Genomic DNA, 26178 nt, shown 5'->3' with positions numbered 1-26178 from the left:
GGTGAGATTTTGGCTGTGTCTCTTTAGCAGCTTAGGCAGCAAATGAAATGGAAGAAGTACTCATTCTTTATCCTGCCACTGGCTTAGAGTGAGTTTTGACTTTTGGTAGCTTGAAATTTGCAGCCCTTAATAATCTGAACTAGGAAAGAAAGGAATGGCAATACTGGAAGAATGCCTTCAGATGTAATTAGACAATTAGCTAACTGATTTGTCTGGCAGGAACACAATGCTTATCAGGTTAGGAAACAAGTCAACAGTTTGCAAAGAAAGATTCAGAAAAAGTGGAGCCAGAACCAGGTAAAGCCTCTTCCTGGCAGGGTAGACAGATACTGGGGCTCATAGGAAAAGCCATACCCTGTCTGACATCATCTGCCTCACAGAGTCCTCCAGTACCCTCAAGGGCACCACTGAATTCTCCACAATTTCTCTAAACTCAATTTTCCTTTCCTTTGGTTTCAGTTCCCACTACAACAGAAGCTCCTTTAGGACGAGGACATTCTCAGACTGTGTTCAGTGCTGTATTCTTAGCGACTAGGATCATATCGCCCTCCTGATTATAACTTTGCATGATTGTTCCGTTTCCCTCAGAAGTAACACTGAAGTCCTTATGTGGCCTGCAGGCCTGCATGATCTACCCCCGCGTACTAATTCAACTTCCAGTCAAGTCACCTTTCCATCATTCACTATGCTGCAAGCTCTGCCCCACCAGGCCTTTGCCTGTTTTCTCCAGCCAGAATTCGCTTCCTCCCTATGAACATGTGCTTTCCTGTGTGCATTGACTCACCATGTTGCGCAACCAGAGAACACCCAGGTCCACTGGAGCCCAGACAAGGGTGTTCACTGCAATGGATACTGTCTTTAGTTACAATTAGAATATTTTTGTCTATGATGGAATTTTTTGCATTAATTTTGATTTTAAAATATTGCATTAAAGTATTATTTAACTGGATGCTGGAGTTTTTTGGTACCCCGTTAATTTGCACTTGAGGCCATAGCCAACTGTCGGGGGAAACTTAAGAAAAAACCCTCAGCCCATGTGCCTTCAGTCTTGATTGCACATGGACACGCATGCACACATGCACAACATAACTAGCTTCTTCTCAGCCTTCGTGTCTCTCTTTAAAGGTCCTGTCTCCAAGAAGCCTTCTCTGATGACCTGACCCATCCTATCCCTCTTCTCCTTTACTCTCATTTCTACATTTTGTTTCTTTCATAGCACTTTTCTCAACTTGTAATTGAATATTTTTAAAATTTCTTCCCCTGTTTATTGTCTGTCTGCATATTTGATTCAAAAATTCCCAAGGGAGAGACTATGATTCTGTCCTGTTGGGGATCAGAAAATGATACCCCCAGATGAAGGCCTCTAAAGCATCCCCCAGAGTAAAAGATTTTCTCTGACATTTTCCTGCCCTCCTGTCTGTGGCCTCTCATCCTCCCCCAAGACCAGACATAGAAACTAGAATCCATCTTCCCCAAGGTGGATTGTAGAAACCAGAGCCCCTTTTCCCCAAAGCCAGCCATAAAACCTAAAAATATTACTCTAACTTCCCCCCAGCCTTTTTGTGTAAAAACTGGCCATAAAAAAAAAATCGTCTAGGCCAGGCGTGGTAGTGGCTCATGCCTGTAATCCCAGCACTTTGGAAGGCTGAGGCAGATCACTTGAGCCCAGCAGTTCAAGGCCAGCCCGGCCAACATGGTGAAACCCTGTCTCTACTAAAAATACAAAAATTAGCTGGGTGTGGTGCTGTGGGTTTGTGGTCCCTGTTACAAGGGAGGCTGAGGTGGAAAGATCGCTTGAGCCCTAGAGGTTGAGGCTGCTGTGAGCTGAGATCACACCACTGCACTCCAGCCTGGGCTCACTGTAAGCTGGTGGCAGGATAAAGAATGAATACTTCTTCCAGGAGGAATTTCATTTGCTGCTTAAGCTGCTAAAGAGACACAGCCAAAATCTAACCAGTCTTAAGTTTAATTTTTAAAAATTTTTAAAAAATGATCTGACTTATCCTGTTTGATTGTAGGTCATAAGACCCCCATTTCAAGAGGGTCCTGCTGCATACCCAGAAGGAAGGAATACTGCACAGAGAAGCTAAGAGGAATTTAAACAGACAGACCTTGCTGGACTTTCCTACTCAGTCTATTAACATTAGATCATACCCTTTCTGCCCAGTTATTTTTCTCCATGGCTGTCCGTACTTCATTGAACCCAAGCCTAAAAATGGGCAGTTTCCCCGTATCTTTGGGTCTTTATTCTGAAGGCTCCGTGTAAAACTGTAATCAAATAAATCTGTATACCTTTTCTCCTATGAATCTGTCTTTTGTCAGTTGATTTTCAGTGAACCTACAGCAGATAAAAGGAGATTTTCCCCTGGCCTCCACAGTTCCAATATATCCATTCCCCTCTCAAAGACCCTGACATAGAATAGGTACTTACAAATTACTTGTTGAATGGATATGTGAATGAATGAATGAATGAACTTTTGTAGTATGTATGACCCTGTCCTAGACTAAAATATGAAGATGGGTCTCCCCATGCTCTCCCTAGTAGGTGTTCTTTCCTTGTTTGTGCCAGTGGCCAAACACTGCCCATTAGCTGCCTAGGCCTCCTTAAATGCTCCAGCCTTGGGTTTGACAGTCTAGATAGTGCCCCCATAAAATGCTAAAAGCTGAAATGTGAAGTGCTGCACATAATATTTAGCTTTTAACAGATGTACACCATTCTAAATACTACGGGAACATAGGGCATCAAGATAGTTTATGGGGAAATGATTTATGCGCAGACGTGAGTGGTCATTCACCCTACAGGGCAGCCACCTGGCCTGTCATCTGTGCAAGGGGCAGATCCTGGCATACCGATTATAATCCATTTAAACCGAGTTCATCTGGGGTTTTCATGTTCCCTTGATCATTCTGAAGATATATTGGCTGTCTTGCACTATTTTCGTTTCTAACATACAATGGAAGAGAAATAACTGAAAGAGCATATGTCACAATGTCAATAGTGCTTACATTTAGATGTTGAGATAGGAGTGTTTTTAGCATTTCCCTCTTACATGTGTCTATTTTTAAATTTATCTTTATTGACAATATATTATTTTTATAATTTTAGAATACTTAAAGTATTACTTCACTTGTTCTCTTTTGTGTTTATATATATTTCAATTGTGTAAAGCTGAGCTGTCCAGTAGTATCCACTAATAGCATGTGAGAACTTAAATGAATCAAGATGAAATTCGCTATAAGGAACTTAAACAAATTAACACGTGAAAAACAAATGACCCCATTAAAAAGAGGGCAAAGGACATCAAGAGATAATATTCAAAAGAAGACATACATGCTGCCAACAAGCAAATGAAAAAATGCTCAACATCTCTAATCATTAGAGAAATGCAAGTCAAAACCACAGTGAGATACCATCCCATCCTAGTCAGAATGACCGTTATTAAAAAGTCAAAAAATAACAGATGCTGGCAAGGTTGTGGAGAAAAGGGAACACCTATACACTGCTGGTGGGAATTTAAATTAGTTTATCCACTGTGGAAAGCAGTTTGGCAATTTCTCAAAGAACTTAAAGCAGAGGCTGGGCGTGGTGGCTCATGTTTGTAATCCCAGCACTTTGGGAGGCCGAGGCGGGCAGATCACGAGGTCAAGAGATTAAGACCATCCTGGCCAACATGGTGAAACACGGTCTCTATTAAAAATACAAAAATTAGCTGGGCATGGTGGCACGCACCTGTAGTCCCAGCTACTCGGGAAGCTGAAGCAGGAGAATCGCTTGAACCTGGGAGGCGGAGGTTGCAGTGAGCTGAGATTGTGCCACTGCAGTCCAGCCTGGTGACAGAGACTCTGTCTCAAAAAACAACAACAACAACAACAACAAAACAAAAAACAAAAAAAACAGAACTACCGTTTGACCCAGCAATCCCATTATTGGGTATATAACCTAAGGAATATAAATTGTGCTACCATAAAGACACATGCACATGTATCTTCATCGCAGCACTATTCATGACAGCAAAGAAATAGAATCAACATTAATACTCTTAACAGTAAACTGGATAAAGAAAATGTACATATACACCGCAGAATACTATGCAGCCATGAAAAAGAATGAGATACTATCCTTTGCAGGAACATGGCTAGAACAGGAGGTCATTTTCCTAAGTGAACTAACACAGGAAGAGAAAACCACACACCACATGTTTTCACTTATTAGGGGGAGTTAAACACTGAGTACATATGGACACAAAGAAGAGAACAAGAGACACCTGGGGCTACCTGAGGGTGGAGAGTGGGAGGAGGATGAGGATAAAAAAACTACTTGTCAGGTTCCATGCTCATTATCTGGGTGACAAAATCATCTGTACACCAAACTCCCATGACACACAATTTGCCTATATAACCAACCTGCACATCTACCCCTGAAACTAAAGTAAAAGTAAGCAAAAAATGAAATCCAATTAAAATGCAGTTCCTCAGTCACAGTAGCCATGTTTCAAGTGCTCAGTAGCACATAGAGCTAGTGGCTAGTATTTTGGACAGTGCAGAATAGAATATTTCTATTAGTACAGAAAATTCCACTGGAAAATTCTGGTGTAGAGTGTGTAGGTTTTAGCCATTTGAATATAAAGATAGAGACTTGCAGGTGGTGAAGAGTTATGTGCTGCAAACAAAGATTTGAAAAGAGCAACTGTCTGAGTTCTTTGTGATCCAAATGCAGTGGTATTGATTACTCATTGAAGGGAGACCTTGTTATGCTCACCAGTGTCCTTGGAAGGGTGCTTGATGAGGGAAATGTGTCCCTGAAATTTTATGGTTGCAGAGGCTGATAACTGAGTTTAGCCTCCTGAGACTTTTTACAAGGCAATCTGAAAAGCCTGGGCAAAATGCCCACCATGATGTGTCACTCCTAGGACCTAACTTGCTATAGGAAATTCCCATAGGCTTACCTGAAATCAGATTCCCTATTTCCTATTCCCATCAAAAGGCTTTTAGCGTCTATTCTTGGATGACTCCCTTTTGCTAAACTACAGGATAACCTAATGCTAAAGCAAATTTATTGGGCAACCAGCCCAGGAGGTCATGCTCAGTAACTTGTCCAGGCTTTTCTTTGAAAGACTTAGGGACTAAGTGACCTTTGACACAACAGAGCAAAATGTAAGCAGCTCTACTTGCTCTGTAATTATCAAAATTTGTTTGGTTTCAAGATGAATCCTCAAACCCACATTCTGGTGGCCTAAGGAACGCATCACATCTGCCTCAGCCTTTGTGAGAAAAGGGCACCTAAGTTATTAGCTGAGAAGTATAAGGATATAGGCATTCATGGTTTTTTTTTTTTCTCCAACAAATGTTTAGTGAGCCCCTGCATATCATGTGCTAGGGCAATAGGGCAGTGAATAAGACAGACCTGGAGACTGCCTTACAGAGTACCACCTCAAATCGTCACAACAGCAACTTTATCAAGGTTAAGAATAGTCTTAACCAGAAGTGAGCTGACACCCAAGGGTCTTTTATAGGCAAGAGTCAAGAGCGTCTCCAAAGTGCAGTAAAGATAAAACCCTAGCTACATGTCTAAAGCAGGAAGTTACAGAATGTATGGCTGTGCTTTCTATCAATTTGAGCTTCTCAAGGGAGCCCGTAAGCATCATTTAGGCCTGTACAAGAGAAGAGAGTCAAAATGTTTCTGTAACAGGGGTCCTGCAGGGGACATTAATTGCTGTTGAAACAGCGCTGTGCAGTGGACTGCCAAGGTCTACAGTGTAGCTCACTGCCCTTTCTCCAGGGCCCTAGGTTAACATGGCACAGGGAAGATCTACCGAAATGTCCATGATGAAAGGTCGAGTTTCTTCAAATAAATAAGATTATGGAAATGGCGTGGAGAATGTGTGGCAATATGAAGACAGAAGGACACAGCAAAATAAAAGGATGTCTTCTTAAAACATCTTCTTGCATATAAAAAGCAAGAAATCAAAGATTGGATGCCAATTCTAAGAAACAGACACTCAGAGGATACCCTGCAAAGTATATCTAATTGGCTAGAAAGGGTAGACTAGTAAATTTTACTGTAAATCTCTCCTTTGGTGGTGCAAGCTTTCAAATCACACACTGTATTGATTGATGCTGCAGTGATACCTGACTGAGGCACAGAGACAGGGGAAGGAGGAAACGACATGTAAAGGCCCCCATGCTCCTGAAATAAACTTATCTGAGGAAAGGAAGTATATGGACTGATGGTTAGAAATCAGCATCAGGCATGGTGGGGGAGAGTTACAGCACATGTGAATGTTGCTAGAAGCTCTTTCATACCAATTCACACTGGCTCAGTGGCTGTGCTTTGGAAAACATTTGTTAAGGACAAGAGTATGTAATGTTGAAACTCAAATGTAGGGAAACTTGTGGCCTGGGAAAGAGATAATAGGAATCATCAGTAGTTGTTATTTGTTAACACAAAGAGCATGCATGAAATCAGTGAGAAAGGGTGACACACAATGAGTAGATCCAAACATGAACAATTGAATATTCCCCAAATTTAAGGACAGGACAGAATGAATGGTCAAAGAGAACCAGAGAGTGTACTGTCAGAGAAGCCAAGGAAGTAAAGAATTTAGAGAAGAGACGCTTGGTTAAACACAGCCGAGGAGCACAGCCAGCTAAGGACCATAAACTGCTCCTTGGTTTGGCAATGTTTGCCAGAGAATTTGGAATGGAATGATGTGAGCAGAATCCAGATTGCAAGAACTGAAGAAACAGAGAGATGAGGAAATGTGAACAGGACCAACAATTGTTTTCTAGATCCCTGAAATGAAGACCTATGTGGATGTTGTTAATAAGCTCTTTACCTGAGGAACCTGGTTTGCTAAATTGCAGAGGTTTATCTTCAGAACTGACTTACCTGAGCTACAAGGGCAGGAAATAATTACATCTGACCCTTTGAACTGAGGAAGTGTTCAAATAACAAAGCATTCTGACCTTGATCTTATTTGATTATTAAAAGCGTTGTTTAGCCCTTAGAGAAATGATTTTTCTTGAAAATGTTCTCCATACCAATTCTTACCCTTTCCTATAGCGTAAAAATTCCCCACAAGAACTAGCTCTGCAGAGTTCAAGGAAAATGAGTTGGTATCTTTTCCTTTGAAAAGTGAGCTTTAGGGGTTAGTCAGAAATTGAGCCTTGCAAAGTACTTCCTGCAGAAACAGGAAAAGGTTATCCTTTTCTACAATACACAGACACTAGGCCCTATGTAACCTTTGGGTAAATAAAGATGACCAACAAGCTTCAGATCTGCAACATGATTAGAAGGCTGTGCATAAACAAACACCCTGGAGATGTTGGAAGGCAGATCTTGCCTCCTATTAAACAGTCACAACCTCAAGGTTGTTCATGTAGACCAGTTGTATAAATGCCAAGAAAAATATTTCAATGATTATTTGTTCTATTTCACAAAGCCAAGAGTCCTCGGCTATCACAACACCCTAGTGTTTTCAACTTTTTCTTAGCATTAAATTCATTTGGTGACCTCAATTGTTCACAGGTTGTGAATATGTATATTAGACAAAAAAGCTGGACTGCTGTGGTTGAAGCTGGGTGAGGAAGGGCTAAACTTACCTCCCTGAAACGCAAGATGCAATTTCAAAGCCTTAGCTCCAGAAAAGTGGTTCACAGCCCTGGGTATACATGAGAATCACCTAGAGATAATCCTAATGCACTTAGGGATTCTGATTTAATTAGTCTAGGTGAAAGTGCTCTGGGATAATATGTTTTAAAAGCATCCCGGATGATTCTATTGTGCATCAAGGGTTAAGAACTGTTGCCTGAGAGAAGGACTGTTTATGAGAAGCTTCATTTGACTAAGAAGGTTCTACTTGTAGTAAAATTGCTGTCAAACCAGCAGTTGGGGGATTCACTGCTGTTGATTAATCAAATAGTTAATTAGATTTGGCAAGTTTACCATGAATCAAAATCCATTTCACATGGAATTATAATACAATAGTATACATATATTACAAAATTCAGACTGAATATTTCATTCAGCCAAGATTCATTTAGAAATTATATATTTAGTGGCACACTCTGTGTAAGGTGTTAAGAGAGAAACGCAAATGATTCTTCTTCCAATCTTTTCTCCTAAAGAACTATTAAGTATTCTGTGCAAAGTAAACATTTCTAATATGAAACAAAATCTAAAAACCAAGAAACGTTGAAGGATCTTACATATCCTTGAAGTCATTGTCAGGTCATTGGTGGATTAAAAATGACCACAAATCCTAGCCACCCTTCCTATCAAAAGGTAGCATCTGTTTTCCTCTCCCCTCATATCTGGGTTGGGCTTATGAACTTCTTTGACCAAAAAATACAGCAGAAGTGATTCTGTGCTAGTTATAGGCCCAGGCTTTAAGAAACTTGGCAACTTCTACCTTTGTTCTGCTGTAGCCTTCAGCTACAATGTAAAGTTACTTTGCTGGAGAGAACATAGGGAAAGTTAGATGCCTGGCTAATGTTAGGATGTTAGCCATCCTGAACAAAATGCTAGATATGTGAATGGAGCCATCTTGAAACGTAGCCTTGAGAGCACTGTGTGAAGGAACCCGTGTTAGCCATGTGGAACAGCCATGTGAGAACTAAGGCATCTTGGCCAGCAGCCTTAGATCAACTGCTAGATCAACACAGTCTCATAACTGAGTAAGTGAGACCACTGGAAGATCACTCTTTCAACTCACTAAATCCTGAGAAACAATATATATATATATGTAGCTTTTTAAAAAAGACATTAAGCCTCAGGGTCTTTTGTTATACAGCAAATATAACTGATGCAGAAGTTGGTAACTAGAAGTGCAATGCTGATGTAACAAAAACCTAAAGCAGGCCAGGTGTGGTGGCTCATGCCTGTAATCCCAGCACTTTGGGAGGCCAAGGTGGGGGGATCATTCAAGATTAGGAGTTTGAGACCAGCCTGGCCAACATGGTGAAACTCCATCTCTAATAAAAATACAAAAAATAGCCAGGCGTGGCGGTGAGTGCCTGTGGTCCCAGCTACTCTACTTGGAGGCTGAGGCAGGTTAATCGCTTGAACTCAGAAGGCAGAGGTTGCAGTGAGCCGAGATCGTGCCACTGCACTCCAGCTTGGGTGACAAAGAGAGACTCCGTCTCAAAACCAAACCAAAACAAACAAACAAACAAACAAAAACTAAAACTAAAACATGTGGCATCAGTTTCAGATCATGTAGAGTAGGCAGAAGTTGGTAGGATGGCAAGGAGACTACTAGTGGAGGTTGGAAAAGCAGTGAAGTATTTGCTATCAGAAGCTGGAGAAAGCGAAATTTATGTAGTGCTAGAATTGTTTGGCAACATTGTTGCCTGTGGTTACCTGGAAGATAGAAAACACATCAATGAATTTATGGATCTGGCCAAGAAAATTTTGAGGCAAAGTGTCAAAAGTGAAAGTCAGCTTATTTTAGCCACCTATAACGAAGCATGGGAAAACAGAAATGAGCCAAAGAAGAAATTATTCCTTTTTAAAACAGAATTGAGAGAAAATGTTTCCATCCCTGGACGTAGTAGTTTGGAAAATAAAACTGATTTTCATTGCATCTCCATGAGGAAAAAAGTTCCCAAAATAAGGAATGGTCTCAGGGTAAAGATTAAATACATGATGCTGACACTAAAATAGTCTCAGAGTAAAGATTGAATCAAGGTTATATGACCTTGACTTGTGATTGTGCAACCCTTTGATAAGACTTCAGAAAAATGTAAGATCCTTAAGAGCATTTCCCCACAGCACCCTGACTTGCGGTTCAAAGGAGGGAAAATGTCTATTTTGAAGATGTTTATAGGTGTGATTTTTTTTTTTGAGACAGAGTCTTGCTCTGTCACCCAGGCTGGGGTGCAGTGGTGCCATCTCAGCTCACTGCAACCTCTGTCTCGCGGGTTCAAGCGATTCTCCTGCCTCAGCCTCCCAAGCAGCTGGGACTACAGGCATGAGCCACCACGCCCGGCTATTTTTTGTATTTTTAGTAGAAACGGGGTTTTACCATGTTGGCCAGGCTGGTCTCGAACTCCTGACCTCAAGTGATCCGCCTGCCTCTGCCTCTCAAAGTGCTGGGATTACAGGCATGAGCCACTGCTCCCGGCCAGGTGTGATGTTTATTTAATAAAGTGAATTTGCTATTTGATGAATAGAAAATATACAACATTTTAAAGAGAATTTTATTGGTAAAAGCCTTACCAGTTTTGACTAAAAGGGACAGAAAAGTACAAAATAAAATGAGGCTTCCAGGCTGTAAACTTTACAAAAGCAGAAACCAGGCAGAGAAGTTTACTCAGCTGTTAACAGTAGATTGGGAAAAATCAGCCAAAGAGCCAAATGAGAAAGGAGAGAGCAGACATGGGCCCTAATCAAGGAATAGTCTCCGTGCTGTAGTAGGAGACCTGACAACCTCTCCCCAGAGGGATTTCATAATTACTGTGGGCCAGAGGCTGCTATGTGCTTCCCTTTCCTCCCTTTTTGAATGGGAGTACCCATTACTGTGTCATCTTTGTAGGCTGAGTGTCTGGGAAGAAAAAGAACTTGTGTTTTTAATTCAGAGATCTTTAGATAGAGAAGAGCCACAGTGATTGGCTGTACTCAGGGAACTGCACCTTCGGAACCCCATTTATATCTGGACCTGATTTAGATGAAAACATTCTGGATCTTAAGTATGAGCCTGATGCCATAATGGAATAAGCCTTTTGAAGATGTTAGGAAGGAATAGTGTATTTTGCAGATTAGAGGAATATAAATGATTTAGATTTAGAGCTACAGAGATAGCCACAAATTCTATACTTTCTTTCCACTGAGAGATGGAGCTTATTTGTCCCTCCTCCTTCAATCTGGGATGGTATAGTGAATTTCTTTGCCCCACAGAATGTAGCAGAATCAATTCTAGTTCAGGCTAGACTTAAAATAAGCAGCCTTTGCTTTAATGGAGTTTTGAGCCACCATGTAAAGAGGTCCAGGTACCTTGCTTGGGAGGACACATGGCTGATTTCCAACTAGTCTAGTTTCCCAGCCAAAATGCCAGACATGTGATGAAGCTGTCTTGGAATGCTGTTTGGAAACCATCATGTTGTGTGGAAGCCCAAGCTAGCCATAAGGAGAGGCCACATAGAGGAGAATGAAGGTATCACAGCTGACAAGCCCCGCCTGGCTCCCAACTGACTGCAGTTACAGAACTGACCCCCACAAAACTAGAACTATTTATTCAACTCACAAAATCATGAGAAATAATAGATTATTATTGTTTTAAGCCACTAAGTTTTGGGGAGATTTGTTGTACAGAAATGGGTAATTTAAACAGTTATGAGCCACAACTGGAGCACTCTAGATACACAGAGGAATCTTAAAACATAGAATCCTAGTTGAGAGGCCAGTTAAACTATAGTGGGGGTTTTTTTTTTTATTAGCAGATTTTTTTTCTTTATCTAAGGATGACATTAATAAAAGCAATATTAGGATGCTTTCAAATAAGTAAACCAAAGAGCAATGCAGCCTAGAGAGAGGACTTTGATTCCACTTATTATGTAGTTATGTCTAGATGGGCAAAGTGCTGGAAAAACTCAATAGATATTTATCAAGAATCTCTACTATGAGTGTCAGTATAACCTAAGGAGAAAAACTTATCACCAACTTCTAAGGAAAGGTGAAATTTTTAACACTTAAATAATAATTAAAAAATTAGCCAATTTTAAAGTTTACCTAGCTCGGAACATCAGAGAAGTGTTCTCTTCTTCTATTTTCTGAAAGAGATTGTGTAGGATTGATGTTAATTTTTTATTAAACATTTGGTAGAATTCTCTCGTAAAACCATCTGATTCTGGAGTTTCATCTTCTGGGAGTTTTGAAATTATGAATTCAATTTCCTTAATAGTTAAGGGACTATTCAAATTATATCTTTCATGTTGGGTGAAGTGTGGTAATTTGTACTTTCCAAGGAATTGGTCTACTTTATCTAAGTTGCCAAATTTCTATGTAGACTTCTTCACAGTATTCCCTTATCATTATTTTGATGTTTGTAGGGTCTGTAGTAATATTCCTTATTTTCTTTCTGATGTAGGTAATTGTGTCTTCTCTTTTTCTTTGTCAGTCTTGCTAGATCAATTTTATTGATCTCTTCAAAACACCAACTTTTTATTCATTGATTTCCTCTATTCTTTTTCTGCTTTAAATTTCATTGATTTCTGTTCTTTATTTTCTTCTTTCGGTTTGCTTTGGAATGATTTTGTCCTTATTTTTCTAGTTTCTTGAAGCCTTTTATTCTACAGGAAAATACTACTTCAGTTTATCATCTATGTATGTGTTTTACTACATTCAGCACAGTCATGCACCGAAGAATGACGTCAATGGCATATATGGACCACGTATACAATGGTGGTCCTATAAGATTATACTGGAGCTAAAAAGTTTTTATTGCCTAATGATGACATAGCCATCCTAATGTCATAGCATTATGAACTACACGTTTGTGGTGAAGCTTGTGTTAACAAACCTACTGTGCTGCTACCAGTGGTATAAAAGTCTAGCACACACAATTATGTCCATGACATAATGCTTGGTAATGATAATACATGACTATGTTACTGGTTTATGTATTTATTATACTATATTTTATTGTTATTTTAGACTATACTCCTTCTACTTACAAAAAAAAAAATAACTGTAAAACAGCCTCAGACAGGTCTTTCAGGAGAGATTCCAGAAGAAGGCATTAGTATAGGAAAAGACAGCTCCATGCATGTTATTGCCCCTGATGACCTTCCAGTGGGACACGATGTGAGGATGGAAGACAGTGATATTGATGATCATGGCCCTGTGTAGGCCTAGACTAATGTGTATATTTGAGTCTTCATTTTTAACAAAAAAGTTTAAAAACTAAAAGAAGAAATAAATTTATAAAAATAGAAAAAAGCTTCTAGAGTGAGGATATAAAGAGGGCAAATATTTTTGTGTAGCTGTAAAATGTGTTCATGTTTTAAGCTGTGTTATTACAAGAGTCAAAAAGTTAAAAAGTTTGTAGAGTTAAAAAGTTACATTTAGCGAAGGTTAAGTCATCGTTGAAGAAAAAACAATTCTTAAGTAATAAATTCAGTTTAGTCTAAGAAAACAATGTATGTGAAGTCTATAGTAGTGTACAGCATTGTCCTAGGCCTTCACATTCACTCCTCACATACTCACTGACTCACCCAGAGCAACTTGCAGTCCTGCAAGCTCCATTCATGGTAAGTGCCTTATACAGTCTAGCATTTTAAAAAATCTTCTATACAGCATTTTCACTGTACCTTTTTGATGTTTAGATGTGTTTAGATGCACAAATTCTTACTATTGTGTTATAATTGCCTGCAGTATTCAGTATAGTAATATGCTGAACGGGTTTGTAGCTTAAGAGCAAAAGGCTATCCCATTTAGATTTGTGTAAGTACGCTCTATGATGTCCTCTCAATGACAAAATCACCTAATAACACATTTCTCAGAACATAGTCCCATTGTTAAGTGATGTATGACTGTACATATATTAGATTGACAAATATCTAGCTATCTAATAATTATGATTATCTAACAACTATATACTTTCACATAGCCCATATAACATGCTTCCCCCATATTCTTGTGAAGCCACCTAACTACACCTGAAAATAATAGTAAAACTCACAAAATGTGTGTGGATTAAAAAAAAACAAACAAACAATCAGACTAGCTGCTATATCCCCAGTGTGCTTAGAGGTGCCAATCATGACTTATGCCAGTAACAGGAGCAAATCATCAATGTTTTTTCCTGCTGCTCTAAAATTTTCCCCTAAGCAGTAACCAAGCAGTGGAAAATCCCCAGCATAAGGGTTCATACAGGAAGTGCACTGGTCACTAGATTTATCTTTCAGTGATGTGTTTCCAATAATAAATGGCTCTCAGAATAACAAAGAACCTGAGTGTGAAAAGGCTTAGGTTAGCCACGCAGCTGCAGAAAGACCAAAGTGTGGTTCAAAAGTGATGACTGCCATATTTTCTTCTTACATTTGTATGGTGTTCATTTGAAATTACCTGGTGTATTTTTAAGAGGCATGCAACAACTCACCCAATTGAATTTTAAAATCACACAATTATTTTTACAGATGTACAGACGCCAAGAGGAATCTGAGACCAGAGTGGTGAAGTGATTTACCCAACATTGTCTACCTGGGTGTCAGCACAGCCTGAGCTCAGACTTCCCTGCGTGGTTCCATCGTTTAGTCAACAAATATTTATTGATTGCCTACAACATCACACAGACCATTTAGGTACTAGGATGCAAAATTTTTTTAAAAAACAAAAAACCTTGGCCCCACAGAACTGGCAGAGGAAGAAACACAATAAACAATTAATGAATTAACAAAGTAAATTACATAGTATAAAAGGTGATGATAAGTGCTCCAAAAAAAAAAAAAAGTTACAACAGAGGAAGAGGAATTGGGAGTGCTGGCAGAGATGCACTTTTTGTAAAGGGTAAATTCTAAATAGGGTGGTCTGGTAGGCCTCTTTGAAAAGATGTGGAGGTAAAGTTAGCCTGGGGGTAATCGTGTTGGAGAGAACATTCAGCAGAGGATAGAACCAGCCCAGAGGCCTCACAGCAAGTGTAGGCCTACAACAGCTTCCGGGATGAACCTGGCATGCTTGAGGAACAGAAGTCACCTTTCTGCGACATGTCCTCTAAAAATCACAGAACTATAGACTCTTGAGTTGGGAGAGCCTGAAAAATTGTGCAGTCCAACCTCCCAGCTGAAGCAGGAATGCTCCGGGCAGTAGCACAGATCTGCACTTGTCTGAGTTTGAGCAAATCCCTCTAGGCCACGAACTCACTGGCTTGCAAAATAGCTCATCCCATTTTTTTGGCCACCTCCCGTGGTTAAAAGTCTTGTCTTACGCTGAACTGAAATCTGCCTCCTTTGGCTTCACCCTGTGATTCCACCTCTACCCTTTGAAGCGACACAAAATCCCTCCTTTCAACCAATGCATATTATTTCTTTGGTCAAGGGCGCCTGGGAGGCAGTTTGGCACAGAGGCAAGAATGTGAACTCTGAAGTCAGGCAGGACTGGGTTCAAACCCACTTTCCAGCTGTGTGGGCTTGAGCAAGTTCTTTCATCCCCTCACACTTTGGGGTCCTCATCCCAGAAGACTCTTGGGGGCGTTAGAGACTATACAAGTGCACATTAAATGGCAGTTGTTCTGTATATTTTTTATCTGCAGGGTGACTTATCTTTCACTTAAACGCTGTCTGCAGGGCTTAGCATATACCACCCTTTGAGGAAAGCTAATTTAGATTCAGAAAGTCCCTGAACGTTTCCCACTTGTGCTCTCCGTATACTGGCTGACCTTAAGGAAAGGAAAATCAAGTGGTACCTGCCTGAGGTAGGTCATCTGTGATGGCAAAGCACATAAACCAGATGGTATCCAGCTGCATTTACCAGTTAGTTGGGGCAGAAGTTCTGAAATCAGAAGCCAAAAATCAATGAAGAAGAAAAAAGCCCTGTGGAGTAAAAATGTTTCAGAGTAAATTTGCTGGGTACTAGCACATACTAGGAATTTCCTACGGGAAGAAATGCAGGCAAAACAACTAGACACAGGGCCAATGAATCGGAAGCACAGGATTATCTACCCAGATGCACTAATGCCCTTGCACACTGGAAGGTCATGGGGCCACCCCTGCTGACCAACTTCTTCCAGGAACTCAGGTATGAAGTTGGCTGAGCCACTTTAAGAGAAGTCTCCTAGCAGTGATGATGCCATGAAAGATTATGCATCTGCAAATAACAGAAGAAGCTATTATCATTTACTGGGTCCCACCTGTATGCTGGCATTATGTATAATAAACATTCTCTCACCTGGAAACAACAGGTACCTGACCTTTTGTTTTGGTCAAATTGTCCTTCTAAGAAGTAGCAGCCAGCAGTCTGAAGACAGATTTACTAACGACCACCCTAGCCCCCTCTCCCCTTTTCCAAACTCTTTCCAATCGTCTCAGCCCTTCTTTCCACTGGGAAGGTTACCAAAATTAGCAAAGCAAGGCTGAATTCAGCCGGATTAAATCAGTCCATATAAAACCACTCGGCATAAACAAGTGTGGCAAACACTTGCCATGCTTAAATATCTTTGAAAGATAATGCTGGGTTTAAAAGAATCATTCTAGAACTTTCCATGCAGCGTATACGCATTGCAAAGTCACCAAGCGGTGATGTGCAAATATAAATCTCATTTTGTTTTTATCAGTGTGCACATTTCTTTGACTAGTCCTCATATCTGCCTAGAGAGAGGAAAACTGAATTCAGGACAATTTAGACAGCTGAGGCCAACCCTGTCATTTTTTTAGCCCCTTTGAACTGAACTGTAACAGGATCTCTCTCCAGTATGCATTCGGTCAAGTACAGGCATTATTATTATTATTATTACTACCAGTTTTCATCTAGTTTAACACTCCCTCTGAGTTTCTGCTTGCCCCTTCCTCCCGTCTGACTCTTAAGCTCCCACAGGCCCTCACTCTGATCATTTCCTGGCAGCCTCAGCCTCAGAAAAAGAAGGAAGAGGCCTCAGGAACCTGGCTGAATATTGGTGATGGGGAGGTTCTGCATCTGGCTTTTGGTCTGCTTTTTGGCTGCCTCCAGCCGATCTGTCCTTGTCTGTTGCAAGCTGTAATGTGTGGTGCACTTAATGTGCTCCTCTGCATAGCTTTTAGATATGGACAGACCCACAGGAATGCACTTCCTTCCCTTGCCCCCAGAAACCCATCTCTAGTCATCCCGCAGCTATAGGCCTGGGTAGCAGCCAGATTCTAGGGCTCACCAACTTCTATAGCTCATGCTGAGCCCATGGAAATCTCACATGCCTTTGCCACACCGCACAGTGGGGACGTGGGCTATCTCAGACATGTTTTTCCTGTCTCTCAGCTGTACTGGCTGACACCAGCTTTTCAGAGGATTCAAGATGAGAAATGCACACCAGCTCTATCTTCCAGAATGCTTCCTTCAAAAGTCTCTGGGTGGATTCTCCTGGTGCCTCTTCCTTGAGATTGGGCAGGTCCAGTGCCTGCATCCTTCCATAAGGCTAGAAGGCTCCACAAAGCCTCATCTGTCCAAAAAGAGCCAGTCTCATCCCTCCCAGTCCCTTTGTATAGATCCTAGTGGCAATGCTCACAAACCAGGTCTTCTTGTTTATGCAAATAAATTTTGTTTTACACTTGGCAGGGTCGCCACTGAACCTGGCCATTGATAACCTAGATTATTTGTTCTTGGCAGTCACGATGGAATGGTAGAGTGTGGGGAGTGATGACAAGGAAGGAAAAAGAACAGAACTGTGCTTTGGTGACTTGAGTCATTGCCATATGTAAAAACAAAATACCTAGCAGGCCCCTACCTTACACACACCTATATTCTACTCTTCCATGGGACAAGTGGCTACTCACTCTACTCATTATGATTATGAACTCAAAAACACTGCATTTAAAAAGGACTTTAGAGATAATGTAGTCTAACTTCCTAAATTTGCAGATAAGAAAATTAAAATCTATATGCATGAAAATATGAAAAACTTGTTTTCTCCTATAGCTTATTCCTTTTGCCAGAAATTCTGGAGCATTTTAAGTGGAAGAAAATAGGTGCTAGCTATTTTAGTACAATCTGCAAACTCAAGATAATTAAAATTACAGACAGAAATATTTTAGGCTGCACTTATAAACTGATTATTTCCAAGTTCCTGAACAAAACCTCTTAAATTCAAAGAATTTATCTGAGTGCTGCATTTTCCTTTGAAGAAAATCTTAATTCAGCTGACAGAGGTAGAAAAAAGTACTTGGAAAGCTAGACAGCTCCTTAGGGACACCTCTGTCCTCCTATTTGGAGAGGCTCAGTAAAGGGGAAGTGTGATTTATTAATCAGAGGATGTGATGGTTACCATTACGTGTCAACTTGTCTTGGCTATAATACACAGATATTTGGTTAGACATTGGCCTAGATGTTGCTGTGAAGGTATTTTTAAGATATGTTTAACATTTAATTCAGTAGGCTTTTTTTTTTTTTCTTTTTTTTTTCAGAGATTGGATCTCGCTATGCTGCCAAGGCTGGTTGCAAACTCCTGGCCTCAAGTGATCCTCCCACCTTGACCTCCCAATGTGCTGTGATTATAGGTGTGCATCACTGCACCTGGCATTGATTCAGTAGACTTTGAATAAAGCAGATTATTCCCCAAAATGTGAGTGGGCCTCATTCAATCGGTTGACAACATTGAGAAAAAAAAAGGTCCCTCAAGGAAGAAGTTCTGCCTCCAGACAATCTTCAGGCTCAAGTTGCAACAGCAATTCTTCCCTGAGTCTCTAGGCTGCTGGACTTCCCTGCAGAATTCAGATTTCCCAGGCCCAATACTTTCATGAGCCAATTCCTTAAAATAAATCTATCTATTGATTGATAAATTGATCCATATCTATCTATATTATAGCTCTATCAATATTATACATATATATAAAGACAAATATCTATCTATTATCTACATATCTGTCTATCTACACATCCTATTGGTTTTGTTTCTCTGGGGAAGTCTGACTAATACAGGGGGTATCACAGTAACTTGATCAATTTGCAGTGAGTGACTCACACTAAGCCCAAAGAATGGTTCAGTCCTATCTGTTCTTATCACCTGGAGAGACTCTGACCTTCCCCACAAGGTCAGCAACAGGAAGTGCAAATTAATAAGACTGAGACTCACCACCTGGCCAGAATTCCCAGGGAAACCTGAACATCATAACTCATTTGCCACCCTTTGTGCCAATGATGGTGTTTCTGAAAAGCTACTAATTGTGAGAAGGAAAAGCCAGGGAAGTCGTAAAGCTCAGGGCTAGGGTCTTCTATGCTTACCGTCAATTTATCCTCTCAAGACTCAAAATCAACTAGCCCACTGTAGTGAAGACCCTCTATTTTTATAGAAACCAATATGAAATTTTATAGAAACTAATATGAAACAAGCTCCATTTGGTGCTTTCTCTGGTTTTTGAGGTGCAATGGTGAAGCCCTGCTCTTCTCTGTTTCACGCAAGGCTCATCCATACCTGGCTGGGACCTCCAGGTTTAATGAAGATAAGGCAAATGTGTGAACTGAAGGACCAGATATAGAATTGCTCTGTGCTTTGGACATGAAGACCATTTTCTCCTGAAGTTTAGTGATGCAGAAAGTGTCACAAAGTGAAGTTGGCCTCATTTCAGAGGTTCAACATTGTCAGGACCAATACCCCTGGGATTCTTTTGACTTTTCATCCATGGTCACAATGTGGCTGCTTCCATTTCAGGCATGACTTTCACTTTTAAGGCAGGAAGGAAAGGCACAGAACAGCAACAGCAGGAAAACAAATGCTTTCCAATAATCCCAGCAGATAGTTGCTTAGGTCTCATTGGTCAGAACTTGGACACCTGGCCCCTCAGCTGAATAGCTGTAAGGGAGTCTGGCGAAATATTTAGCTCTTCTAATCTTGTTAGTAGAAGGAAGAAGAAGATTATAGTGTATTGGTATTTGATATGAATCAGAATTATATATATTTTAAGAGCTATGATAAAATATTTTTGCATATAGTGGAGAAATATTTATGTAATACAACTCTCCCAAAATAAATGTTGCTTTTAAGGCCACCCTGTAGGTCAGAGTTTTCCAAATTGTGGGTTATGAAATGTATTTAGTGGGACTCCACTAGAAGGAAGAGCAGGAGGAGGAGTAGGAAGAGGAGGAGTAAAGAAGAGGAAGGGAGAGATGGAGGACAAGGAAGAGGAAGATGATGAACAAATGGAAAATAACAATAGAAAATATCAGAGTGAAACTTTTGTTTCAGATATGTTTTTCTTACTCTTGGTTACTGTCAACAGAGTTTGAAAGCTACTATTATAGAGCATGTGATTAGCAGGTTTTAAGAGATTTTTGCATACACAGCTTTGCTCTTACCACAGCGAGTTTATGCATGTTGAACGCGCCCTGCACTTGTTTAGAATCTTTATTCTTAGCGTCTTTCCTGGTCCCTTCTTCAAATATGTATTTCCTGCTTAAACATCTGCTTGATCCTGCTACTTTCTCTCCACTTCATTCTTTCCTGGAGCAGTCGATCACCTATAACTGAGTAGTCTACGTTCACAACATCTTTTCTTCTGCACTTCCTCCTTGGAAATTGGATTCTGTTCCCCACAACTCCCACCTCCCTTCTCCCATACACATTCTCCAAAGATCCTTAATGCTAAGTTCAGCCTTTCCTGGCCAGCCAAAGTTCTTCATCACTTTGTTGAAGGGTGTGTTTTTTGGCCATGTCCTCCTTGAAACTCTCTCCTCTCTCTACCTCCTCCTGACTGCCTTTCTCCCTCCCTTTCCATCATCGACTCTGTTTCCTCCTGTCCCCTGAACCTGGGAAAATATCCACAGAACACAGCCTTCTGCCCTCTGCTCTCTTTTCTTGCAATCTCTCTCTGCCTCTTCCTCTCTCTCAAAGATACAATTATCATCACCTTTAGCTAATGATTCTACTCCTGCATTTGCAGTTCTGATCTCTCACTCTTACAACCTGTACTCCACTCTTGCAAGACTTGAACTCAGAATATCTGAAAGGAGATGAATCACTTCCCAACGCAAAGCTGCTTTTTTCTACAAATTTTTCTGTCTCTGTAAACGGGACAACAATTCTTCAGTGATCTAGGTGGACATTATCAAAACCGTCTTCACCTCTTTGCTCTCTTATCCTTTATTTTTTATTTTTATTTTTATTTTTATTTTTATTTTTGAGACTGAGTCTTGCTCTGTCATCCAGGCTGGAGTGCAGTGGAACAATCTTGGCTCACTGTAACCTCCACCTCCAGGGTTCAAGCGATTCTCCTGCCTCAGCCTCCCAAGTAGCTGGGATTACAAGCATGATTTTTGTATTTTTAGTAGAGATGGGGTTCCGCCTTGTTGGCCAGGCTGGTCTCAAACTCCTGACCTCAAGTGATCTGCCTGCCTTGGTCTCCCAAAGTGTTGGGATTACAGGTGTGAGCCACCGCGCCCAGCTTCTTTTATCCTTTACATCCTTCCCCAAAAGCAGTCCATGCTGGGGGGAACAGAATGCCTTCCACTTGCCGCCTGTCCTGGGCTCTGGTAAGAGAGAAATATTTGAGGGAGCAGGCGCTACCACCCCGCCTTTTTCTCAGCTAGGTTAACGCTTAATTCCTGGAATTTCTTCTTTGAACAGAATCATTCTTTTTAAATTTCTGTATGTTGAATCCATTATTTTTTAATGAGAAGAACATCATTTTTTTATTCCATTAAGCATTTATTTTCAAAATTTAAATCAGTGCTGAGAGGCATTAAACATGTAAATTATTTCTCTCCATTTAAGAAATGATTTGGCAATGCATCTACAGAACCATGAAAACATTTATACCACTTGATATAATAATCAAAATTCTAAGGAAAGAAAAGGCTAGAATGCAAAGGTGTTCATTATATATCTATGGAAAAATCAAAAGCAGCTTAACAGTTTAACAATTAAAGAATGGCTTGGCAAATTATTCTTAAGAAATTATCACTTTCATTAGCTATGATGCAGCCATTAAAAATGATCATTACAGAAATTATGTAGCAATCTGGAAACATAGAAAAAAGCAGAATATAAATTGCATTTCTGCTGCGATTATAGCTATGTTAAAATTAGGCATGTCTTTTGGCAAGAACTAGAAAGAAATGTGAGTAACTAGGAAGAACCATTAAAACCTAAGCTTAATCCTTAGCTTGCAGGTACAAAGCTGATTTTTTTCCAGAGTTTTCTGAAGTAGTTAGGATTAGATGGACTTAGTCAGCTGATAAAATGCAGAAGAGACTCATGCCAGAAAGCTAAGTTAATTACTTGCAAAAGGAAATTACCAAGCACACAGGAATAGCATTATTGCTTTTTCTGCCTATGAATAAAGTTATATGAAAAGCCAAATTGTAGTCAAAATGCTGTTTTCTGAGAATGGAATCAGAGGAGCAACTGAATGATCTCAATGGCTATTGTCAATAAAGGCCTGGCATGTCATCTCCACCTGGGTGCGTGCCTACAAACCAAACCAAATACCCATGGTCATCAGTCAGCGTCTTCTCCACCTGGTGCTAAAGAGAGATGACGCTTTGTTAATTTGGGGGTTTTTCCTTTTTTTTTTGATTCTGTACCAACCTCTCTCATCTCTCTATTCATACTTGTTTGCTCATGTTTTCTTCAGATGCTAAAACCAGTCATGTTATGCAAAGTACATCCCATAGAATAACACGTAAGCTTGGAAAATTTGGGGTTAAGCAATGTTAAGTGCTTATTCCTGCAAGACTTCTGCAGAGTCTTTATGTATTGATGTGAATTATGAACCTACTTCATGGCATGTTTCAAGCTAATCTGAGCACCTTTTATTTCTCAAGTAATTCCCTCAGCATGAACAGCAGTAGAAATGCTGGGGTCCAGTTTTCTGGCCTTCACATTTGTTTAAGTCTTGATTACATTATAGGTCCTAGTCCCACATTCAGCCTGAGGAAATCCTACTTTGTTGGAATCACTTCTGTATAAAGGTAATCTTACCTGTTTTATATTGAATCCATTGTTTAAATTTCTTAATTGTGGTGGGGTCACCTAACTAACGTATACACATACTAGCTATTTATTATATAATTTATATATATATATACATTATTTTTACTAAAAAGGGTTAGTGACATTTGAAAAAAATTAGCAGGAAAAAAAGCATTATCCATATCCCCACTATCCTAATTTGACTATGTGCAAAAAATGCAAGGATTTATTTTGTATATTCTTATAGTTTCTCCACAATTAATAAGCTTTTAAAAAAATACCTTCCCTCAGCCGGGTGCAGTGGCTTACATCCATAATCCCAACACTTTGGGAGGCCAAGGCGGGCAGATCACCTGAGGTCAGGAGTTCGAGACCAGCCTGACCAACATGGAGAAACCCCGTCTCTACTAAAAATACAAAATTAGCTGGACGTGGTGACGCATGCCTGTAATCCCAGCTACTCAGGAGGCTGAGGCAGGAGAATCGCTTGAACCTGGCAGGCGGAGCTTGCGGTGAGCCGAGATCGCACCATTGCACTCCAGCCTGGGCAACAAGAGCAAAACTCTGTCTCAAAAAAAACAAAAAACAAAAAACAAAAACCCAAAAAAACACCCTTACCTCAATCATTCATTTAAAAATATAATTAAAATCAAAAGTACTGAGTGTTCATTGTTTCAGCATTCATGTCTTCCTTTAAAATTACCAATTTAAAAATAAGTTCCAGGAGGTTGTCTAATCCTTTCCCATGCATATAGAAAATAGGGTGCCTAATCCATTTGAAATATGATAACCTGCTATTATATTCAAAAACTTTTCCAGGAAAGAGAAAGATACAATAAGAGAATGTATCTCCTCTCCCACAGTGGTTACCTTCCTGCAGTATTTGGGGAAAAGACAGCATGTCTCACGTCCTCATCTAAGTAAGTCAGTGTGGCTTCTCCATTGTTCTCTGGCTCCTACCCACAATTTCCAGGGTCATCTTGCTTATTTCACTCTTGGTCGCTAGAATTCTGGGCACCAGCGGGGTCAAGTTGAGGAGGCTACAATTCCCTTATTGCTATGCAATAGAATTTTACTGGATGTTTGCAGGTTAAAGAAAAAAAAAGAGAGAGAGAGAACAGAAATTTCAGTTCAGGACAAAACAGAAAACAATTTTAAATTTACAATTTTATTAGACATTACTCTTCTTATAAAACCAACGACTTCCCTATCACTGGGATTTTCTCAAACTAGGCTTGGTATGTTGCTGGAAGCTAACCTCTTCCTTACGTTTCTCCCTAGATGCCAGGTTAACCTCCCCAAATTGCTGTTACTTTCTAGTGCTTTCTAACTACAGTTAGGCAGTTAACCCGTGTAACCCAGTGGTTCTTGACTGGGGGTAGTTTTGCTCCCTTGCTCCCAGGGCACATTGGCAATATCTGGAGACCTTTTTGATTGTCACTACTGAGCAGGGAGGTTCTATTGGCATCTAGTGGGTAGAGGACAGGGATGCTGCAAAACTCCTACAATGCATAGGACAGCCTCTCATAGCCAAGAATTATCCAGCCCCAAATGTCAATAATGTGCAGTCGAGAAACTGACCTAACTACAATCCATTGGAACCAAACTAGGATCAGGTCACTTGTCTCCAAATCTGGAGATTGATTAAGGTGTTTTGTTAAACAATTTACTCCAAGACCATCTCTAGCAATCTAAAGAATCAGTGAACATTTTGAAATTACTTGTCTTTCTTTAGAAACTCCTGATTCCATTCTTGAGCAGGATTATTATACCTACCTATTTCTGGAAAGTAAGAGGGGCAATAGAAATATTTATTCTTCCCTATTGAGAAAAAGTCCCTCAGAATTGGGGATATTTTATTCCAGTTACAATTACATCTAAACTACTTTTTACGTTCCTTTTTCTAAAGCCTTACTGATATAGAGCATTTTGCTGGTGGCAGAAAAATGAAGACAAGGCTCATTGTTGGGTGGCTCTGCAGCTGTAGAAGTCAGAGGATTGGTGTTGTGGTTAGAAAATGGGTCACCTGGCCAGGCATGGTGGCTCACACCTGTAATCCCAGCACTTTGAGAGGCCGAGGTGGGCAGATCACGAGGTCAGGAGTTCAAGACCAGCCTGGCCAACATAGTAAAATCCCGTCTCTACTAAAAATATAAAAATTAGCTGGGCGTGGTGGCACGTGCCTGTAATCCCAGCTACTCAGGAGGCTGAGGCAGGAGAATTGCTTGAACTGGGACTCGGGAGGCGGAGGTTGCAGTGAGCTGAGATAGCCCCACTGCACTCCAGCCTGGTGACAGAGTAAGAATCCATCTCAAAAAAAAAAAAAAAAAAAAAGAATAATAATAAGAAGAAAATGGCTCATCTTTGTGTTAATAGTTTATTTCGTGTGAGTATTGTGCACCTCTCATCATGATGCTTGCCCTGTTGTGTTATAATTTCCTACTTACCTAGATGACTTCAGTACTCCCTTGACCACATCTCCCCTTAATTTTTAAGGTCCTCAAAAGTATCCCCAATCCTAGCATAGTGCCTGGACCATAGTGACCCTAAACAGTTGTTTGGTAAATAAATACATAAATAATTACTCAATGGAATCAGGTAGAATAAAATAACATAATTCAAGTTGAGGTTGAAATATAAAGAAGGACTTGAATTAATATGCAAATATGGGGAAAAATCACTAAAAGTTCCAGTCATATGACCATGAAGTTTCATAATACTAATTTCTTTAAAGAGTCATTTTTAAAAAGTAATTTATAAAGGTAATTTTTTAAAAAGTATTTTTTAAGTGTAATTTCTCCGGTCCTATATACTCAGATAAACAAAATGACTTATGTGTAGATACAAATATATTTTCCCTGTGTTTGGGACTGTGTTTGGGACCCTTAAGGATCTCAAAACTTGAGTGTGTATCAGAAATGCATAGGATGCTATTAAAATACAGATTTCCAGGTCTCAACCCCAGCAATTTTGAACCATATGATGTGAGGCCCAGACATAGGCATTTTAAAGAAACTCAGCAAATGATCCTAAGTTTGGTTAGAGTCTTATTTTAAGAAACATTCTTGGCTGGGCGCGGTGGCTCACGCCTGTAATCCCAGCACTTTGGGAGGCCGAGGTGGGCGGATCACGAGGTCAGGAGATCGAGACCATACTGGCTAACACGGTGAAACCCCATCTCTACTAAAAATACAAAAAATTAGCCGGGCGAGGTGGCGGGCACCTGTAGTCCCAGCTACTCGGGAGGCTGAGGCAGGAGAATGGCGTGAACCCGGGAGGCGGAGCCTGCAGTGAGCCGAGATCGCGCCACTGCACTCCAACCTGGGCGACAGCGAGACTCCGTCTCAAAAAAAAAAAAAAAAAAAAAAAAAAAGAAACATTCTTTATTATAGCATACTTCTAAAAATAACAACAATAATAATAATATACACCCCAGACCTTAGCCTAATGATATTTATTTTCATTCATCAGTAAAATATGACTTCAGGCTGAGTCCTGGGTGGAGAGAGGTGGCTAGAATTTCTTAAATCCTTAAATACTGTCTGAATTGGTCATGTTCTGGAATGAAAACTGGGTAAGTCTGCAGGTTGAT

At 40.2% G+C, this 26178-nt stretch overlaps 1 long non-coding RNA gene across 1 annotated transcript in view, besides 1 other annotated feature; it reads right to left on the bottom strand.

The window, feature by feature from the left end:
- Positions 14344 to 15179: an enhancer, noted in NCBI's record as "NANOG hESC enhancer chr5:36359316-36360151 (GRCh37/hg19 assembly coordinates)". NCBI's record gives its function as "activates a minimal SCP1, AML or CMV promoter by ChIP-STARR-seq in naive H9 embryonic stem cells {active_cell/tissue: H9 hESC(naive)}" and the evidence as "EXISTENCE:reporter gene assay evidence [ECO:0000049][PMID:30033119]".
- The window catches only part of LOC124900962 (uncharacterized), a 109210-nt gene continuing 106313 nt past the window's right edge, over positions 23282 to 26178 (bottom strand). The window contains exon 4 of the long non-coding RNA XR_007058732.1: positions 23282 to 23661. This is a non-coding gene — a long non-coding RNA (uncharacterized LOC124900962). The remainder of the gene's footprint in view (positions 23662 to 26178) is intronic.

This window comes from Homo sapiens, chromosome 5 (genome assembly GCF_000001405.40).
Source record: "Homo sapiens chromosome 5, GRCh38.p14 Primary Assembly".
In the NCBI taxonomy this organism is placed as follows: Eukaryota; Metazoa; Chordata; class Mammalia; order Primates; family Hominidae; genus Homo; species Homo sapiens.
The sequence above is the reverse complement of the archived record's forward strand: the minus strand, read 5'-3'. Positions and strand labels throughout refer to the sequence as shown.